The sequence below is a fragment of the Homo sapiens genome, chromosome 13 (genome assembly GCF_000001405.40).
Source record: "Homo sapiens chromosome 13, GRCh38.p14 Primary Assembly".
Taxonomy (NCBI): domain Eukaryota; kingdom Metazoa; phylum Chordata; class Mammalia; order Primates; family Hominidae; genus Homo; species Homo sapiens.
In genome coordinates this window covers 103,334,946-103,355,006 of record NC_000013.11, presented here as the reverse complement: position 1 = coordinate 103,355,006, position 20,061 = coordinate 103,334,946, and the positions used below count along the sequence as shown (strand labels likewise).

Genomic DNA, 20,061 nt, shown 5'->3' with positions numbered 1-20,061 from the left:
TTTAGTAGAGACGGGGTTTCACCATGTTAGCCAGGATGATCTCCATCTCCTGACCTCGTGATCCGCCCGCCTCGGCCTCCCAAAGTGCTGGGATTACAGGCGTGAGCCACCACCCCCGGCCAGTAGACATAAATTTTTGGGGGGATACTCTTGAACCCAATTGCCAGATCATTTAGGGCCTTGCAGTCTATGACCTGGACCTTGGACCTTTTTTTCTAAATACAATGTTAATTCTTCAGAAGGTTTTTAGCAAAGGAAAAGGCTTAACCTCATTTGTACTTTTGTAAGATCTTTCTGACTACTATGTGAAACATGAGTTATAGTGAGAAAAGAAAAGTATAGAAGTCAGTTAACTACTGCAGTAATCAAGGTGAGAAATGAGAGAGGCTTGCGTTAGTGTGTTGGCATTTATAGTCAGAGGACATGGACATTTTGAGGAATTATCTGAAAGATATAAATAACATGTGTGGTTGATGGATTTGAGGTAGGAGTAAGGAAAAGGGAGGGAGCCTAGACTTCTCCTTTGAGTCACTGGGTGGTGGCTGGTACCATTTACTACAACAGGGAAGATTGCCAGCTGGGGTAGGGATGGATACGAATCAGAAGTTCAATTTTGGACATATTACATTTGAGCTGCATATTAGAATTTCAAGTGGAGATAACATAAGACAGCTGGACCCCAGAGAGGTCAGGATTTGAAAGATAAATTAGACAGTCATCAGCATGTTGATGGTAATTAAAGCCATACCAGATGAGGTCATCAAGAGTTGGAGCGTAGAGAAGGAGTGCCTGAAATGCATTATAGGACTCTCTTGTGTTTAGACATCAGTTAGAGAAAGAGAAAGAGCCAGTAAGAGAAACTTATACAGAGGAGCCACCAAAACATGAGGAAGTCCAGGAAAGCATGGTGTCGCAAACCCTACCGCGTGCATTGTAATGCAGAAATCACATGTGGTAGATTATTTGTTTAAAGTATTCACTGTATTTTCTAACATTTCCCACCCCAGGGACTATCCCTATGGGATGAATATAAGTCATATAATACTTACTAAGGTTTGGCCATGTGACCAGCTGTGGCCAATGGAATGTGAACAGAAGTGACGTGTTTTACTGTAAGAAGCTTTAAGAGCCACTGTATTGTCCGGTCTTTGCTCTATTCCTCCAGCATCAACCCAAAATAAATATGACATGAAGAGTATATGTATATCAACAATTAATATGAGTGAGAATAAACTTTTGTTGCCATAAAGCACTGAGGTTTGGCAACTGTCCATTAGCCACAGGATAACCTAGAAAAAAATGGATGAAACCATCACATCTTATGTAGCATGATCATAAAATGAGACGTTCTTCACAGGTCTGGAGCTGGTGGTAGTCCTGGAATAACAGGAGCTTTTGCATCACACTTATCTAAGATCAGACACCAAATTTGTCACTTGCTACCTATATGCTCTTCACCAAATTGGCCTCCCTGAGCCTCAATCTTCCCATCTGGACTAAAGGATACCTATCGTACAGGGCTGTGGTAAGGATTAAATGTGACATATTTGCAGAGCACTCAGTATCATTCTGGCCCCCTCCACAAAATCCTTTTCTATTTATGTTAATTTCTTTCTTTTATTGCCGTAGATTACTCTAGTCAGAACCATGTTGTTAGAAAAAGGACAGAGAATAAGCAAAGTATCTATAGAGTCCAGGCCTAGAGAAATGTTCCCTGCTGCAGGGCTGGCTTCAGAGGGACAGATGGGTGCCTGCGACACAAAGGACACATCACTGTCAGAATCAGGCTTCATTCACACAACAACAGCCCTTATGGAATTCAATTCACAAAATACCTTAGACCATCATTAATAAGGGAGGTCAACTAAGGGAATCCCATGCAGACGGGACAATTTTCTTGGCAGAGCAAGTGGTAGAGCCTCTCGTCTCTGGACTATATTTGGGCAAGAGACAGCTAAAACTCTGGGTGGTTAAACTGGTGGAAACTAAGGCTAAAGAATAGAGAATTTATATTTATTAAATAGAGAATTAACATCTCACCTAAGCCACATTGTCTCTATAAAGTAGCTATACTCAAATACTCATTTTACAGATGAGGACACTGAGGCTGAGAGATAAAATATCAGAAATTGTACCCAAGTATATATGTCCTCCAAAGTCCATATTCTTTCCACGAAGGACAATGAATCTCTAAAATAATTAATTAAGAAGGTAGAGAACTAGCCTTATAGCCTTATGACCTAAGCCCACAAAAGAAATGAAAAGGGAAAAGAACATGGAAAACATACAATCACATCAAACTTGTACCAAAAAAAAAAAATTTGTAGCAGCTTTTTTTTTTTTTTTTTCAGATGGAGTTTTCACTCTTGTTGCCCAGGCTGGAGTACAGTGGCGCGATCTCAGCTCACTGCAACCTCTGCCTCCCAGGTTCAAGGGATTCTCTTGCTTCCTCCTCCTGAGTAGCTGGGATTACAGGCGCCCACCACCATGACCAGCTAATTTTTTTGTATTTTTAGTAGATACAGGGTTTCGCCATGTTGGCCAGGCTGGTCTCGAACTCCTGACCTCAGGTGATCCACCCCGCTAGGCCTCCCAAAGTGCTGGGATTACAAGTGTGAGCCACTGTGCCTGACCAGCAGCATTACTCTTAATAGCCAAAAAGTAGAAATAGCTAATATCTATCAACAGATGAATGGACAAAATGTGATATATAAATAACAATGGAATATGATTCAGCCATAAACAGAAAGACATTCTGACACATGCTATAACATGGATGAACCTTGAAAACATTATGTTATACAAAATAAAAAAAATGCAGAGGCCACACGTCGTATGACTCCATCTATATGGAATGCCCAAAATAGGCAAATCCACAAAGACAGAAGGCAGATTAGTGGTTACCAGGGGAATGGGATGAAGGGGAACAGGGAGTGACATTCAATGGCTATGGGACTTCTTTGCCAGGTGATAAAAACTTTCTGGATTGGTGACTGTAGTGCAACCTTGTAAATGTACTAAAAACTACTAAATTGTATACTTAAAAATAATCATTTGTATGATGTGCAAATTAAGCCTCAATAAAAATAGAAAGGGAGATATAGCATTCATGTTTATGTTATTGGTAGTATACAGTGCTATGACTTGTAAACCATTGACTCCATTCCCAGTTTGATAACATATCTCAAGTTCAAACCCCACAGCCGTAGAAGAAGTAGAAAGAAAGGCTATTCATATAAGCCAACCCTTCGTCCAGACTGGCTTAGGGACTGAGGCAGGTAGCCCAGAGCTGGCCTGCTAGCAGAGCAGCAATAAAGACAGATTCCAGGAGCCTGGGATCAAGGGCAAAAGAAACGGAAATGCACTCTCCACAGGCAGCCACAGGTCAGTTTCATAGGAATCTCCGTGTGCCCTGCTGGGTGCTCTTGGGATACCCTTCTACTTCCACCCCAGAGAGTATGTCACCCTCTTCTTTCATTCTGAGTATCCCCTGAGGAAAGAAGGAAAATATTAAGTGCAGAAGAACAATGACAAGAGCAGCCACATCTGAGAGAGGGCAGGAAAATCTCACTGCAAAACATGCTCATTAAATCCCACAGCTTCCCAAGTCTGTAGCAGAAAGTGCTGCATCTCTGTAATAACAAAGTGGCTGCGAGGTTAGGAAGGAGGCTCTTTGTGACACAATTCTGTAGAACTACTAAAGGAAAGTACAAACCACCCTGGTGCCTGGATCCCTTCCCGACCCCGGTGATCATGCCCATAAATTCCAGAAGCACGCAGTCATTCTCTAGACTACTGGAATGGAAATTATTCTGAGTCTGAGGAAAGTAATGAATGATAAAGCCCAGTGGTGCGGGTGGCAGTTAATTTGCCAGGAAGAGCTAATGGGGAGGGGCCTGGGGACCTGCCCTCCAGGCTGGGTTCCCCTACTGCCTCATTGATCCTGGTAGTTCTGTTAACCTCTCCGTGCAGTGACTTCCTCATGTGAAAAATTAAAATGCAGAAGCCTGTGTTCCCTGTCCATTCTGAGACGGGCTCCCAACGTGCCGGCTCTCGACACTGATCTCTTCCTCCCAGATGATCTGCCTGTATATTCCCTTGAGAAAGGTGCTCCAAGGAAGGCAGACGGAGACTCGCAGCAATTTGTAACGCAAATTTGAATAAGGATGGGTGGGCACAGGGAACACAGGGCAGGCAGAAGGAAGCTTATGGCATTTAATCTCGGCCACCACCACTTACCTAAGAAAAAAAATGGGAATACCGCGCTCCCTGCCCAAGTCACAGAAATCTATTCCCTGTTACCATCATGCAGAGCTTCATAAAAGCATTGGAGTAGATAGTTTCCATCATTTGAATGACTAATTAAGCAATATTCACCCTAATTTTCCCTAAATGGGCATTATAGCTTTTGATATCCAAATTTCTTAAAGCTTAGGGATTTTTTTTCACCCCTGTGAAAAAATTGCTACTGCAATTTCCAACTTTTGGAAGTTCCACTGGCCATTAATAGTGCCTGAATCTTCACAAAAATTCAATGCTAAGAGATGAGGAAAGAAATTTTCTTTAAATGTGATCTGCTCTCTTTTCTTTAAAAAATAAATAAATAAATAAATAAATAAATAAATAAATAAGCTTCTGAGATTGCACAGTGGCCCTGTCTAGATGCATGTATTCTTTTTGTCAGTGACTCAATATCTTTTAGATTACGGTGTATTAAAATAAACCCAGAGAGCCTAGAGGGAAAAAATAAACATGGCATTTGTCTTGAACTCATAAAGGGATTCATACAAAAAAGAATTTAGTAAAAATCATTACCACCTAAAAGCAATGCCAAAATTTAATTATACATTTTTCAACCCCCAAAGTAAATGCTCTAACATCTAAACCCACTGAAAAGCTGCCAGCTTTATTACTGCCATACCTATAGCATTTTCTGAAGCAGTCTCATTTAATTCTTGAATGCATGACCACCTAGCACTGCAGGTAGAGAAAATTTTTCTGTTGCACTAAAATAGCTTCTATTCTCAAAGGCCCGTAGCAACCCATCAATCTTGTCCTCTTGGGTAATTAGGCCCCTTCCCCATTTCCAGGCAGACGTTGCAGAGGACGCTGCTAAGCTCACAGGCAAGTCTGGCTGAATTCCAGCAATGTCCAGGGCTGGATTGTCAGCCACTGTGTTGTCCTCAGTCCCTATTAGCCATGGCATTTTTTCAGAAGAGAAATTAGTCCCTCTGCCAACTCCTATATTTTGTATAAGCCCAGATGTCACACTTTGCTAATGTCATACTAGACTGTAATATTTTTATAACGTAGTGTAGAAAACCAAAGCTGAGCCAAATAGACACATTGCTGCCAGATGGGTGACCTTTATTTACTGATAAAAGTTTTTAAATCATAAAACTTGAACTTATTAGAAAATGAGCTGAGTTTTTAAATTTACATGTGAGCCTAATCCTCTCTCCCACTGAGAATAGGAGAGAAGATGAGCTCCTAGAAATACAAAGTGTTTAGAAATCCCATCTTCATGGAGCAGGGACAGGGGAGGTGAATCTCTCCCTGGTGCATGGATTTGCTGAGCACAAGAATGACCAGAATCGTCTCATGAAAGGAACTGTGGTGCAACCTCTGCAAGCCTGTGAGTTGAAACACACAGCCACCTGCCTTCAAAGCAGGATGAAAATGCTTATTGTGAAGAACTGGCTTGTCTTCCTCCCATGTGTCTAGCCTGGAGAGGAGGATGAAGTAGACTGTGAGGTTTCCCAGCCATTCCCCGGGCTTACTTCCCAAAGCCATTCCTGAACAGTAATGAAATTTCTAATTGATCTAATCATGTTATTTTTGCCTCTAAGCAAGGGCAATTATCCCTTCTTCATATTTCCCTGTAGATGTATTTTCTTTGAAAATGTTTTTCTATCCTGACCCAAGTGTTATTTTCTTCGTTGGGATTGGCTCTGAATATGGCTAGGATTGTAATGGGACCTTTTCCCATTCTAATTCTTTCTTCCCGAAATTATTCTACCTACATATTTACTGATATTTAACTCTGAGTACTCCATATATTCATGACCTTGAAAGCAGAAATTGACCTCTTTGTCATCAATAGTCCACTTATTACTTTAATAATGATAAATGGCTTTGCCAATATGCTTACTCCATTATACTCTCCAGAACATTACTTTTAAATGTTACTTTTATGTTTGTTAATAATTTGCACCCTAACTCATCTGAACTGTATCACCTTTTGATTGTACTATTTTTAGTTAAACAACAATCACATTTTCCCACACCTCACAGATTCTTCAGGCAGTCTAATTTTTTATCAAATCAAATTATAATATAGTCAGAAACCAAATATTCTGCCCTAATGACCCCCTGATTCAGATATATTGAGACATCTATCCACGTTTTTTCTTTTCTCTCCTTGTTTCCCTTCTAATATTGAGGGTCACATGAACTCAATTTTAATTGGGGGTGGTACCACAAAATTATGGTTCTCCACCATAAAATTATGCCCTCAACCAGATAGTCGGAATTCTTCCCACTTATGACTAATATCTAAATGGTTAGGCGTTGTGCGACACAATTTTTAAGATGAACACATCACTGGGAGGGTTAATGTATTTGGGCTTGCAGTCAAGGGACTTGGGTTCAACCAAGCTCTACCTCTTGTTATTCATGTGATTGATATTAGACATCTCATTGAAATGTTCTATACCACTACAAAGGGAAGATGGCCATAACTGCCTGGAATTACCCCTATTCTTGCAAACATTAAAGTACATACATATAAAAATATTCTGTAACTAAATATCATAAGATGTACTACTAGCATCAATATTTGTCATCCTTTGCTTACCACAATCTGTTACCACAAATTTCTCGTCCTGGGAATTTTGGTTCAGCCAGGCTCACTCTACCAATTTGCCAACTCACACTTGTGTCCACTGTCTTCACGAAAGGACTAGCACAGGTTTTACAGCCTGTCCATAGAGTGAGGGCCTTAAATTCCTCAGTTCATTTTTCTCTCATTACTTACAATGATGAGGTCAGGCTCACTGAAATGTGCCTAAAATCATGCCTTGAATAAAGTGAGAGCTCAGTTGTTGTTGTTGGATACGTAGATGGAGGAAGAAAATCTGAATTTTAGACTAATAGAGAGGCAATGGTAGTATATCAATGCACAGGTAACTATACTTGTAAGGCCAAAAGAAAAAAAAAGAGAAGAAAAAATATTTTCTCCATCAGGGTGTGCAGCATAATGCTCACAAATCTTATATTTCTCTCCTTTCATTAATACTGAAAATAGAATTATGAAACTCCTGACAGCCTATTATTAAGAGTAACATTTTCTGAGCAATTACTATGTGCCAGACAGAACCTGAGTATGTAAAGATGACTAAACCTCCCTAGAGTGATTTATATGCATCATTATCCTATCTGGATCTAACCTGTGCTTCTTTGGAAATCACTTTTTTTGTGCCTAACTGAAAGCATTTGTTTAAAGCACCTATACTTAAAATTAAAAACAAAATCCGAGCAGTAATTTATCTAGCAAACTGCTTTCACCAAAAGCTTACCTGTTTTTTCCCATCAAGTATCCTGAATTAAGGCTGTAAAATCAATTGACCGTAGACAGTATCCTCTTAAGAATTATAACAAAAACCTTTGCTAGTAACTTCTTTTAACTAACAGTTTTGTAAGATAAATAATGTTAGGGATGCAAGTACCAGCAGCAACCAGGGCATCAGGTTCTGCACCAGCCATTCCTCAGGTTTATCTTCGGCCTCGGTTCCCATTATCTTGGTGCTCTGAAAGCAGACTTTTCTCATTTGTTCTTTAATCTGTTATTCAGGTAATTTCTCTGTCCCTTGTGTACCGCTAAAGACTTTTCCCCAGCTGCAAGGACTGATTTCATTTCTAAATAGTCTTGCTTTGTTTTCATCCCTTACTGTCTTTCCCAAATATTTCTCCCACCATTGACATTGTGTTCTTTTAACCTTCAATTACCCACCTCACCCTGGGATTGTTTATCTTTCTTTAAATTTCCTCCTTCCAAAGCAAACTGCCACCTTTAAGAAGTTCCTTAATTCTTATGCCACTATCGCAACAATTTGTTTTTTTCTTGGTGAGGAATAATTTTTCCCCAATTTATTTTGTTGTGTATCTTCTTCTCTAAGTGAATTCTCATGGCATATGGCGGGGATATTATCTGTGCACTTCCATAGAAAGACTCTAGATACTTTATCTCCTATTTCATCATGACATTCCCTGCTGGGGCCATCTTTTCCTGTCATGCAGCAAAGTTCTCCTCAGAATATTCATCTGGTAGTGCCCGGAGATGGAGATAACTCTTAGGCATATTTTCTCATGTGTACGTGTGGCGCAGCAGGGACTTCACAAGTTTCATACTCCATCTTCCCATGACTTTTCATAATAATATTTGAAGGGGACTCTTAAGGCATCCACCAGCCTGGTGGTGAAAGGAAAGATGGCAGGTTCTAATGCTGGCTGTGCTCAGAGATGCCCCTGGTCGCTTTGTTATGGTAGAATAGCAAAGGGGTGTGAAAAAATCTACATCAGTGTAACTTTCTTTTCCTTGTAGCCAGAGAAATGAAACCAACTCAAAGCCTTACCTCCCTTGGTAATTCCTATCGATATCAAATCTGCCTTGAAAGGCACTTAAAATCATGCCTTGAATAAAGTGAGAGCTCAGTCGTTGTTGTTGAATACACAGATGAAAGGCAAAAAATCTGATTTTTAGATAAATATAAAGGCAATGGCAGCAATACTGTATGATTGGTAAACCTCTGCCATTCTCTAGTGAATAGATAATCACACTTCAGAGAGAACTGTGGAATTTGGCAGAAAAATGATGGGAAACACCTAAAGCAAGGAAGGAGAGGAAAGTGAGGCAGGCTGCTTGGCCAGAATCAGCTGGGAGCTTGGAGAGAGATTCCTCAACATGGGGAAAGGGTATGTGGGAGACCCCCAGCATTCCACATTCCCACTGTAAACTCCTGCAATCCTAGCCAAAGGCAAGCCCTTCAAGCCTCACAGGCTCTCAAATTAGCAGAGAGCTGTCTGAAAACTGTGCAATGGCACTGATTGAAGGAGGGAGCTCATGCTAGGTCCCACACACTCCCCAAGACCTAAATAGCTACTACCATAAACCATATCATGCTAAATGTCCAGGGACTGGAGAAGTTGCCCACCTGCCAGGCCCACTGCTGCCACTACCAGCATCAGAGCAAGCCACCTAGAGGCCTACGATCTGGCCTGCCTGGACCTGCTAACGCTGGTGCTGATATGATTTGGCTCTGGGTCCTCACCCAGATCTCATCTTGAATTGTACTCCCATAATTCCAACATGTTGTAGGAGGAACCCAGTGGGAGATAATGGAATCATGGGGCGGTTTCTCTCATACTGTTCTCATGGTAGTGAATAAGTCTCAGGAAACCTGGTTTAATAAGGGGAAACCAATTTTGCTTGATATTTCATTCTGTCTCTTGCCTGCTGCGATGTAAAACATGACTTTCACCTTCTGCCTTGATTTTGAGGCCCTCCTCGGCCACATGGAACTGTGAGTCGAATTCAACCTCTTTTTCTTTTTTTTTTTTTTTTGGAAATTACCCAGTCTCAGGTATGTCTTTATCAGCAGCGTGAAAATGAATACAGGTGCCAATGTATGCCAACCCCAGGGTCCAAGTACAAGTATAGTCAGCCCACTGCTGCTACCACTGATGCCCAAAAACTGGCCCCTTGGCAACCCAAGCCACAGCAAAACTTCACCACACTTTCCACTAACCACCACATCATTACATCAGTCTGTAATGTCTGAGGAAATTACAAACATCACTGAGCTGTTACAGCTGAGGAAATTATACAGAGACTGCACTACTGCACACACTCAGAATCAAGGCCAAAGTTCTCTATTCAGCCAACACCATAAATACATCTTCAGGAAAGTTTCCTCCCCTACAAAAGCAAGTTCAAATAATTTAAATAAGCTACTATTACTTCAGATGTGTATGTATTAAAGTAAAAACATAGAAAATATGACAAAGCAAGGAAATACGACACCTCCAAAGGGACACAGTAACTCTCCAGCAACAGATCTCGATTAAAAAATTATGACATCCCAGAAAATACGTTCAAAGTATCAATTTAAAAGAAGTTCAGTGAGATATAAAAAGTCCTGAAAAACAATACAAAGAAAACAGAAACAATTTGGAATATGAATGAAAAATCTACCAAAGAGATAGGTGTCATAAAAAAGAACCAAACAGTAATTCTGGAGCTGAAGAATTCATTAAATGAACAGAAAACACATTTGAAGGCTTCAACAATACACTAAACAGAAGAAAGAATCTCATAACTTGAAGGCAATTCTTTTTAAATAGCCCTGTCAGGCAAAACTAAAGAAAAGATAAATTTAAAACAGTGAGCAAAGACTACATGACATATGAGAGAACATAAGGCAACAAAATATTTGAATTTTTAGAGTTTCAGAAGGAAAAAGGAAAACAAAAGGCTTAGAAAACCTATTTAATGAAATAATAAATGAAAGTTCCCAACTGTAGCAAGGTATTTAGACATTTAAATAAAAGAGCCTCAGAGATCCCCAGATACATTGCAAAAATATCTCCACAGCACATTATAGTCAAACTGTCAAAAGTCAATGACAAAAAGAAAATACGAAAAACAGTAAGAGAAAAGGGTCTAATTACTTATAAGGATTCCCCAATCAGACTACAGTAGCGGACTTCTCAGTAGAAACTTTATCAGCCAGAGAGACTGAGATGTTAGTTTCAAGGCACTGAAAAAAAAAAAAAAAAAAAAAAAAGCCATCCTAGGAATATTTGGCCTGGAAAATTATCCTTCATAAATAAAGAAAAAAATAAAGTTTTTCACTATCAAACAAAAGCTGAGGAATTCATCATCACTAGATCAGCTCTACAAGAAATGCTTAAGGGAATCCTATACCTGGAAGCAAAAAAAGAGATATCTTCCATTATGAAAACACATGAAAATATAAAATCCACTACTAGAGAAAATATACAAACAGGAGAAGTTTCAAATATTACCACTGCAGAAAAACACTAAACCACAATGATAAGCAGTAAGAGAGAAAGAAAGAAAAGATATATCAAACAACTAGAAATCATTTGATAAAATGACAAGCATCTCACATATCAATAATAGACTTGAATTAAACAGATTAAACTTTCCACTTAAAATATATAGACTGGCTGAATGGATACAAAAAATATATAAAATAAAGTAAACATTACCTCACTGTATGCCGCCCACCAGAAACACATCTCACCTCTGGAGATACATATAGGCTGAAAGTAAAGGGAAGGGAAAATATATTTTATGCAAATGGAAACCAAAAATAAACAGGAGTAATTATATCAGATAAAACAGACTTCAACTCAAAAACAGCAAAAGGAGGGAAAAAAGCTCATTATATAATGATACAGGGATCAAGTCAGCAAAAGGTTATAACAAATATTAATATATATGCACCCACAACTGGGGCATCCAGATATATAAAGCAAATATTAATGGATTTAAAGAAAGAGACAAACTCCAATTCAGTAATAGTTGTAGACTTAGACACCACACTCTGAGTATTAAACAGATTACTGAGACAGGAAATTAAGAAGAAACATTGGATTTAAACTGCACGTTAGGCTACATTGATTTAACAGATATTTACAGAACATTTATCCAGTGTCTACATAATGCACATCATTCTCATCAGCACATGTAACATTCTCCAGGATGGACCACATATTAGGTCACAAAATAAGTCTTGGCAAATTTTTTCAAAATTGACATCATGTCAAGTATCTTTTCAAACCACAATGAAATAAAATTAGAAACCAATACGAAGAAGAACTTTGAAAACTGTACAAATCTATGGAAATTTAAAAACTTGCTCCTAAATGACCATTGGGTCGAAGGAGAAATTAAGAAAAAAAGTTTTTAAAAATTGAAACAAATGAAAATGAATATAGAACATATGAAAACCTATAGGATATAATACAAGTAGTGCTAATAGGGAACTTTATAGCAATAAGTGCCTACATCAAAAAAGTAAAAAGATTTCAAGATTTGTACAGTTTTCAAAGTTCCTCTTGCCATTGATTTAATTTTATTCCACTGTGGTTTGAGAAGATACCTGATACAACGTGAATTTTGAAAGAATTTGTCAAGACTTATTTTGTGACCTAATATGTGGTCCATCCTGGAGTATGTTACATGTGCTAATGGGAATGATGTGCATTCTGTAGACATTAGATAAATGTTCTGTAAATATCTGTTAAATCTATTTAGTCTAATGTACAGTTTAAATCCAATGTTCCTTTCTTAATTTTCTGTCTCAACAACCTGTTTAATGCTGAGAATGGGGTGTCAAAGTCTACAACTATTACTGAACAACCTGCTTCGTAAGTGACCACTGGGTCAAAGAAAAAATTATGAAAAAAATTCTTTAAAAAATTGAAACAAATGAGAATGAAAATACAACATACAAAAACCCATGGTATATAATAAAAGTAGTGCTAAGAGGGAAGTTTATAGCAATAAGTGCCTACATTAAAAGAGTAGAAAGATTTCAAATAATGATGCACCTCAAGGAACTAAAAAAGCAAGAGCAAACTAAACACAAAATTAGTGCAAGGGAAAAATGACAAAAATCAGAGAAGAACTAAATAAAATAGAGACTAACAAAATACAAAATATTGATTAAAGGAAAACTTGTTTTCTGAAAAGATTCATAAAATAAACCACTTGCTAGATTAACCATGTAAAAAAGAGAGAAAAACCAAATAAAACCAGAAAAGAAAGAGAAAACATTTCAATCAATACCACAGAAATACAAAAGGTTATCCAAGACTATTATGAATAAGTATACACTAAAAAATTAGAAAATCTAAAGAAAATTGATAAATTCCTGGAAACATACAACCTATCAAGATAAATCAGGAAGAAATAGAAAACCTGAACAGACCAATTATAATAACAAGATCAAAACATTAATAAAAAGTCTTCCAACAATAAAAAGTCCAGAACTAGATGGCTTCACTGCCAAATTTTACCAATCTTTCAAAGAATGACTAACACCAATTCTTATCAAACTATTCCAAAAAACTAAAGAGGAGGGAATTCTCCCTAATGCACTCTATGAGGCCAGCATTACCCTGATACCACCAGCTAAGGACACACAAAGAAAACTACAGAGCAATATTGCTAATGAACATAGACACAAAAATCCTCAACAAAATACTAGCAAACCAAATCTGACAGCACATCAGAAAAATAATAATACATTCATGATCAAGTGAAAATTTTTCCAGGGATGCACAAATAATCCAACATACACAAATCAATAAACATGACACATCACATCATAGAATGAAGGACAAAAACTATATGATTTTAATTGACATAGAAAGCATTTTATAAAATTCAACATTTCTTCATGATAAAAATGTACAGAAAGAACATAAGCACAGAAAGAACATATATCAAAATAATAAAAGTCATGGGTGACACACCCACAGCTAACATCAAACTTAATATTATGGAATGAAAACTGGAATAAGACAAGATGTCCACTCTCACCACTTATATATAACATACTACTTGAAGCCCTAGCCACAGCAATCAGGCAAGAAAAAGAAATAAAAGCTTTCTGCATTGGAAAAGAGGAAATTAAATTGTCCCTCTTGCTTATGATATGATCTCATATGTAGAGAATCCTAAAGACTTCACCAAAAAACTCTTAGATCTGATAAATAAATTCATTAAAGTTGTAGGATACAAAATCAACATATAAAAATCAGTAGCATTTCTGTATACCAATAATAAACTAGCCAAGAAAAAAATCAAGAGGGCAATCTCATTTACAAAAGCTATTAAACAATACCTAGTGATACGGTTTGGCTGTGTCCTGACCCAAATCTCAACTTGAGTTGTGTATCTCAGAATTCCCACACGTTGTGGGAGGGACTCAGGGGGAGGTAATTGAATCATGGGGGCCAGTCTTTCCCATGCTATTCTCATGATAGTGAATAAGTCTCATGAGGTTTGATGGGTTTATCAGGGGTTTCCACTTTTGCTTCTTCCTCATTTTCTCTTGTTGCCACCATATAAGAAGTGCCTTTCACCTCCAAATATGATTCTGAGGCCTCCCCAGCCATGTGGAACTGTAAGTCTAAATAAACCTCTTTTTCTTCCTAGTCTCAGGTATGTCTTTACCAGCAGCATGAAAACAGACTAATACATCTAGAAAAAAATTTAACCAAAAAGGTGAATGATCTCTACAAGGAAGCTATAATGTGCTGATGAAAGTAATTGAAGATGACACAAACAAATGGAAAGGCATACCATGCTCATGGATCGAGAGAGTCAATATTGTGAAAATAATCATACTTCTCACAGCAATCTACAGATTTAATGTAATCCTTACCAAAATACCAACATTGCTTTTTCATAGAATTAGAAAAAAACAAGCCTAAAATGTGTATGGAACCAACAAAGAACCCAAATACTTAAAGCAATCCTGAGCAAGGAAAAAAAAAAAAGCAAAAAATCTGGAGGCATCATACCATAAAACTTCAAACTATACTACAAGGATATGATAACCAAAATAGCATGGTATTACTATAAAAAAACAAAACAGAGACCCATGAAACAGAAGAAAATCTAGAAATAAATCAGCATATTTATACCCAACAAATTTTTGTCAAATGTGCTAAGAACATACACTGGGGATAGGACACCCACTTCAATAAATGGTGCTGAGAAAATTGAACATCTACATGCAGAATAACAAAACTGGAACTCTATCTCTTGCCATATACAAAAATGAACACAAGATAGATGAAATACTTAAATGAAAGACCCGAAACTGCAAAATTACTAGAAGAAAACATAGGGAAAATACTTCAGGACATTGGTCTAGGCAAAAGCACAGACAACTAAAACAAAAGTAGACAAATGGGGCTATATGCAACTAAACAGCTTCTGCACAGCAAAGAAAACAATCCACAAACTGAAAAGAAAACCTGATGAACAGGAGAACATATTTGCAAACTATTATTCCAAAAAAGCATAATATTCAGTAATATATAAGGAACTCAAATAACTCATCAGTTAGAAATACAAATAATCCCATTGAAAAGTGGGCAAAGGATATGAATAGACATTTCTCAATAGAAGACATACAAATAGCCAACAGATGTATGAAAAAATGCTCAACACCACTAATCATCAGGGAAATACAAATCAAAACCACAGTTAGGTATCAGCTTACATATATTAGAATGGCTATTACTAAAATAAGGATGAAGAGAAAAGGAATATCTTATACAGTTGTGGTGGGAATGTAAATTAGTACAACTACTATGGAGAACAGTATGGCTATTTCTCAAAGAGAAATCCAGCAGTACCACTTCTGGGTATTTACCCCAAGGATAAGAAATCAGTATATCAAAGAGATACTAGCAATAGTGCTGTGTTTTATCATAGCACTATCAAAATAGCAAAGATATGGAATCAACCTAAGTGTCCATCTATGGAAGAATAAAGTAAATGTGATACACACACACATACACATCTGAAATAATGGTGTTCTGTCCCCAGTGTATGTTCTTAGCATCTTTGTCAAAAATTAGTTGGGTACAAAGACACGGATTTCTGGATTTGCTTCTGTTTCGTTGGTCTATGTTTCTGTTGTATACCAATACCATGCTATTTTGGTTATGATAGGTACCTTGTAGTACAGTTTGAAGTCAGGTAGTATAATGCCTCCAGCTCTTTTGCTTTTTATATTTAATGTGGAATATATATGCCACATCATATATATAAGATAAACTATTGTGTTGAATATAATCCCATTTGCCTATTTTTGTCTGTGCTTTTTCCTAGACCAATGTCCTGAAGTATTTTCCCTATATATATGAAATAGAAAACTATTTGACCATAGGAAAAACAAATGAAACATGTTACTTGCAGCAACGTGGATAGAACTGGAGGTCATTAGACTAAGTGAAATAAGCCAGGCACAGGAAGACAAATATCTCATGTTCTCACTCATATGTGGGAGCCAAGAAACTGGATCTCATGAAGATAAAGAATAGAATGGTGATTACCAGAGTCTGGGAAGGCTGGCGTGGTGGAGGGATGAAGGGGGAAAAAAGAATACAAATGTATTTATTACTACTGAACTCTACACTTAAAACTGGTAAGAAATAGTAAAAAAAATAGTATGTCAACACTAAAAGAAATCATAATAAAATCAATAGAAAAGTGAAAAAACATGTTGATTATGGTTTCTTTTTCCATATCTCACTGCTACTGTTTTCCTCTCGAGCCTCAGACCCTCCATGTAACTCTCCTTTCTCCTCTTCTCTGAGGGGAAAATTTACATGATCCTAAGAAGTCTCCCTTGATATCCCCACTTTGTAGTATCATGCATTAAGCACACGGTGACCATGTCTTCCCTCTAATAATCATTTTAATCAGGAGAGAACTGCTTTGGAAACTACTTTACAGATGAGAAAATGAAGATACAGAACAGTTAATTAATTTTTCAAAGGTTAAAAATTGCTCTGGTTTGAACATGTGTGTCCCCCCAAAATTCCTATGTTGAAATCCTCACCCTTAAAGGGATGGTATTAGGAGATGGGGCCTTTAGGAAGTGATGAGGTAGTCCTCATAATGGGATTAGTGCACTTATAAAATAGACCCCAGACAGCTGCCTTGCCTCTTCCACCGTGTGAGCACACAGTGAGATGGCATGGTTGATGAGCCAGGAAATCAGTCCTCACCAGACACCAAATGTGCCTGCACCTTGATCACAGACTTTCCAGCCTCTAGAACTGTGATAAGTAAATTTGTAATGTTATAAGCTATCCAGTCTATGGCATTTTGTTATAGCAGCCCCAATGAACTAAGACAAAAAATTAAATCAAATATGCAATGTAACTGTTTGAACTTGAGCTATTTATGGCAGACTGGTTCCATGCTACCTTGACCTTGGGTGGAAAGCGGAGCAAATTAGAGTAAACTGTCATTCTGTCTCTCTGTAGTGTCATTTTGTACCTTCATTTAAATAGATATCTGCAATCATATAATTTTTCAAGAAGAGTCTCACACTTTCTTTCAGGGTATAGCTATTAGTTTATATTTTAAGTAAAATGATAAACACTCAAGGTAAACCAAATAACATCAGGTTTTCTCTCAACCACACTCAATTCTGGGCCTGTTTGTCCTATGAACTTGCTTGATGTCTATAGAAAGTCATTTAACTCTGATAGGTCTCAATTTCCTTATTCATAAAATAAATGGACTATATTTTCCTCAGGGTCTATTCCAGATCTAACTGTTTTTAATTTACGCTATAAGACAAAAACAGTCATTGCTAACTTTCTCAATATTCTAGACATGTCCCCTGAGATATCACATGCTGGGAGAATTTTATCTGCAAAATCCTAGGCATAAAAGTATGTAAGTAAAACATGAAAGGCTTATTAAACAAGCCATACCACTTAAACTGGGGTATGACAAGTGTACCCTCTACTAATAAAGTGATACAGCTTCCTAATCCACTGAAAATACAAACCAAGACTGGCAATACACGTCAGATATGTTCTGTACTGCATCAATACATCGATACGTCACTTTTCAGTTGAAATTACAATTTTTGACAGCCTACATTCTTCCTACAGAGAAAATAATTCTATAGCCTTTTAATATTTTTATAGTTTCTGCAGCATTGCAAGCTCAAATCAGAATAACTTAAGTAGTTTAATGTTGCTTAAGACGACTTTTTCAGCAGAAGTAAATTTCTGTACACAAATCTGAATTTAATCCATATGAGCACGGTGTGCGACTAGGTCAGTTCAGGTGTTGTCAATGCAAAGAATGAAAGCTGGTTTCAAGATTTAGTGTCTCTAGAAATCTTTTTAGAAAATATTCATTAAACAAATGAAATTTTAAAAAACAATTCTTCTCACTTATTATATGCATATTAGTCACCTGGGGATATTTAAAATGCAGGATCTGATTTAGTAGTTCAGAGACAGGAACTGTGATTAGGGGGCTAAACCATCTGGTGTTGTCTCAAACTGAAGAGTTTCCTGGGACAAAGGACTTTTCTTGCTAAAACTGGGTATATTCTTAGCAAACCACCACCGCGAATCTGTCACTCTACCTGAGATTCTGCACTACCAAGAAGCACTCAGATACTGCTGCTGATGTTGGTCCTTGGATCAAATTTTGAGGAATAAAAGTGGGGGGCTGGTTTTAGAACCTGTGGTACAGGTAGCTGGTTTCAAAATTTTCTTTCTCCCTTAGTACTTGTGTGATCTTATGCAAGTTTCTTTACTTATCAAGTCTCAAATCACCAACTGAAAATTAAGATAGTAATACCCACTTCGCAGAGCTGTGAGCTTTAGAAAAGATAAAGAGCATAAAGTTCCTGGTCTATTAGGAATTCTTGACAATTGTTAGCTTTTGGTATCATCGTTGTCTTAATATTTTCTCTGATAAAATATCAGTTAAATGAATATCATTATAGTATACGACTGTTGAAATAAAACTTGATTAGACATGATCTTGACACTTGGCTGAATTGAAAGAAGATTTTATTTCACGTGTATCAAGTCTGGGCAAATATGTCTTTAGAAAGTCAAGTACATATGGCAAAATAACTAATATATGTACAATTTCATGCTTTACAAATACATGTGCAAATGGTGATAACCCTGCATCTGCATCAAGTTAAATGTACCAGAATAATTGGCTTACCATTCAATATTGAGTCAATTCAAGGAAGAGAAATTCCAATTTAACTGCATCAATTCATAAGTAAAATAATCAAAGAAGAATGAAATCAAAATCCTATTTAGTCAATGATTGAGTCAAATCATAAAGAGAAATTCCTTGAAATTCATTTTTAAAGTGCAGTTTTCAGGAGGTGACTCATCCTTTTGGATGTTAAAATCATGTCGCCAAATACTATAATGGTGAATAAAATAATGCAACATGTTATTCGGACCTGAGGTGAGAAAGGCTTGAAGTAGGAGACAAGTAAAGAAATGGGACAGAAGTGCAGAGTCCTGAGAAGAAAAAAATGATGAGATACGGAGCGTGGCCTGAAACACAAAGCACAGGACACCAAGGTCAAAGACAACTCTATGGTTCTAAGCTTTATATACTAAGTGTTAAAACATACCAAAAAAAACCTACAAAACCTCATAAGGATGACGATTTAAACCTACATCAATTATTACTCAATTCTACTAACATCATTAGTCATATTTCTAATTTCCTATTATAACTATCTTTTAGAAAATAATTTCCATATTGAAATAAATTAAAAGCTGATGATCATTAATGTGGATTTGTTTCCTCTGACTTCCGATGTTTCTACCATATAGCCTAGCATCTGAAATTTATTGAAAAAAAAAATTGTGAGCCTACCAGACAGGTTCATGATTATTAAGCCCTTAGGACCACTGTTATCTTGCTCACTCCCTGGGCCTGCAGGAGCTGTGGCTTTGATTCATGATGTGGAAAGGATCGTTATCTAATCAATCAGCAAGCCAAATGACACAGAATAATTTACTTCACATTAACATCATTTACTAGCCTGGGCATATGTAACTTTTTAATAATGCTTAAGACATTGGTTTTACAATAAAAAATCTTCAATCACGTATTTCATATTTCCTATGACAGATGAGAAAAAATGAGGAAACCAAAGCTTTTGGAGAAGGGCTGGAACTAGCGCTTAGTTCTTCTAACTCCTCGTGTTAGCCTGTTTTCCTTACGCCAATATTGACAGAGAATAAAGAAGAAAAATTGCATCAGTGCTTGAGCATTGATCATCTACTTTGTCATTTGTCAATGCTTTTAAAAGGAAAAAAATGCTTTATCCTTGCCATGTCCTTTTATAGACACTCGTTTCTTCTTCCTCCTCTGTTGATTCTGTTCACAATTTTCTAAACTTCTTTATCTTCCTATCAACTTTAATGATAACATAT

At 37.1% G+C, this 20,061-nt stretch overlaps 1 annotated feature.

The window, feature by feature from the left end:
* Positions 3,125-3,818: an enhancer, noted in NCBI's record as "OCT4-NANOG-H3K27ac hESC enhancer chr13:104003539-104004232 (GRCh37/hg19 assembly coordinates)". NCBI's record gives its function as "activates a minimal SCP1, AML or CMV promoter by ChIP-STARR-seq in naive H9 embryonic stem cells {active_cell/tissue: H9 hESC(naive)}" and the evidence as "EXISTENCE:reporter gene assay evidence [ECO:0000049][PMID:30033119]".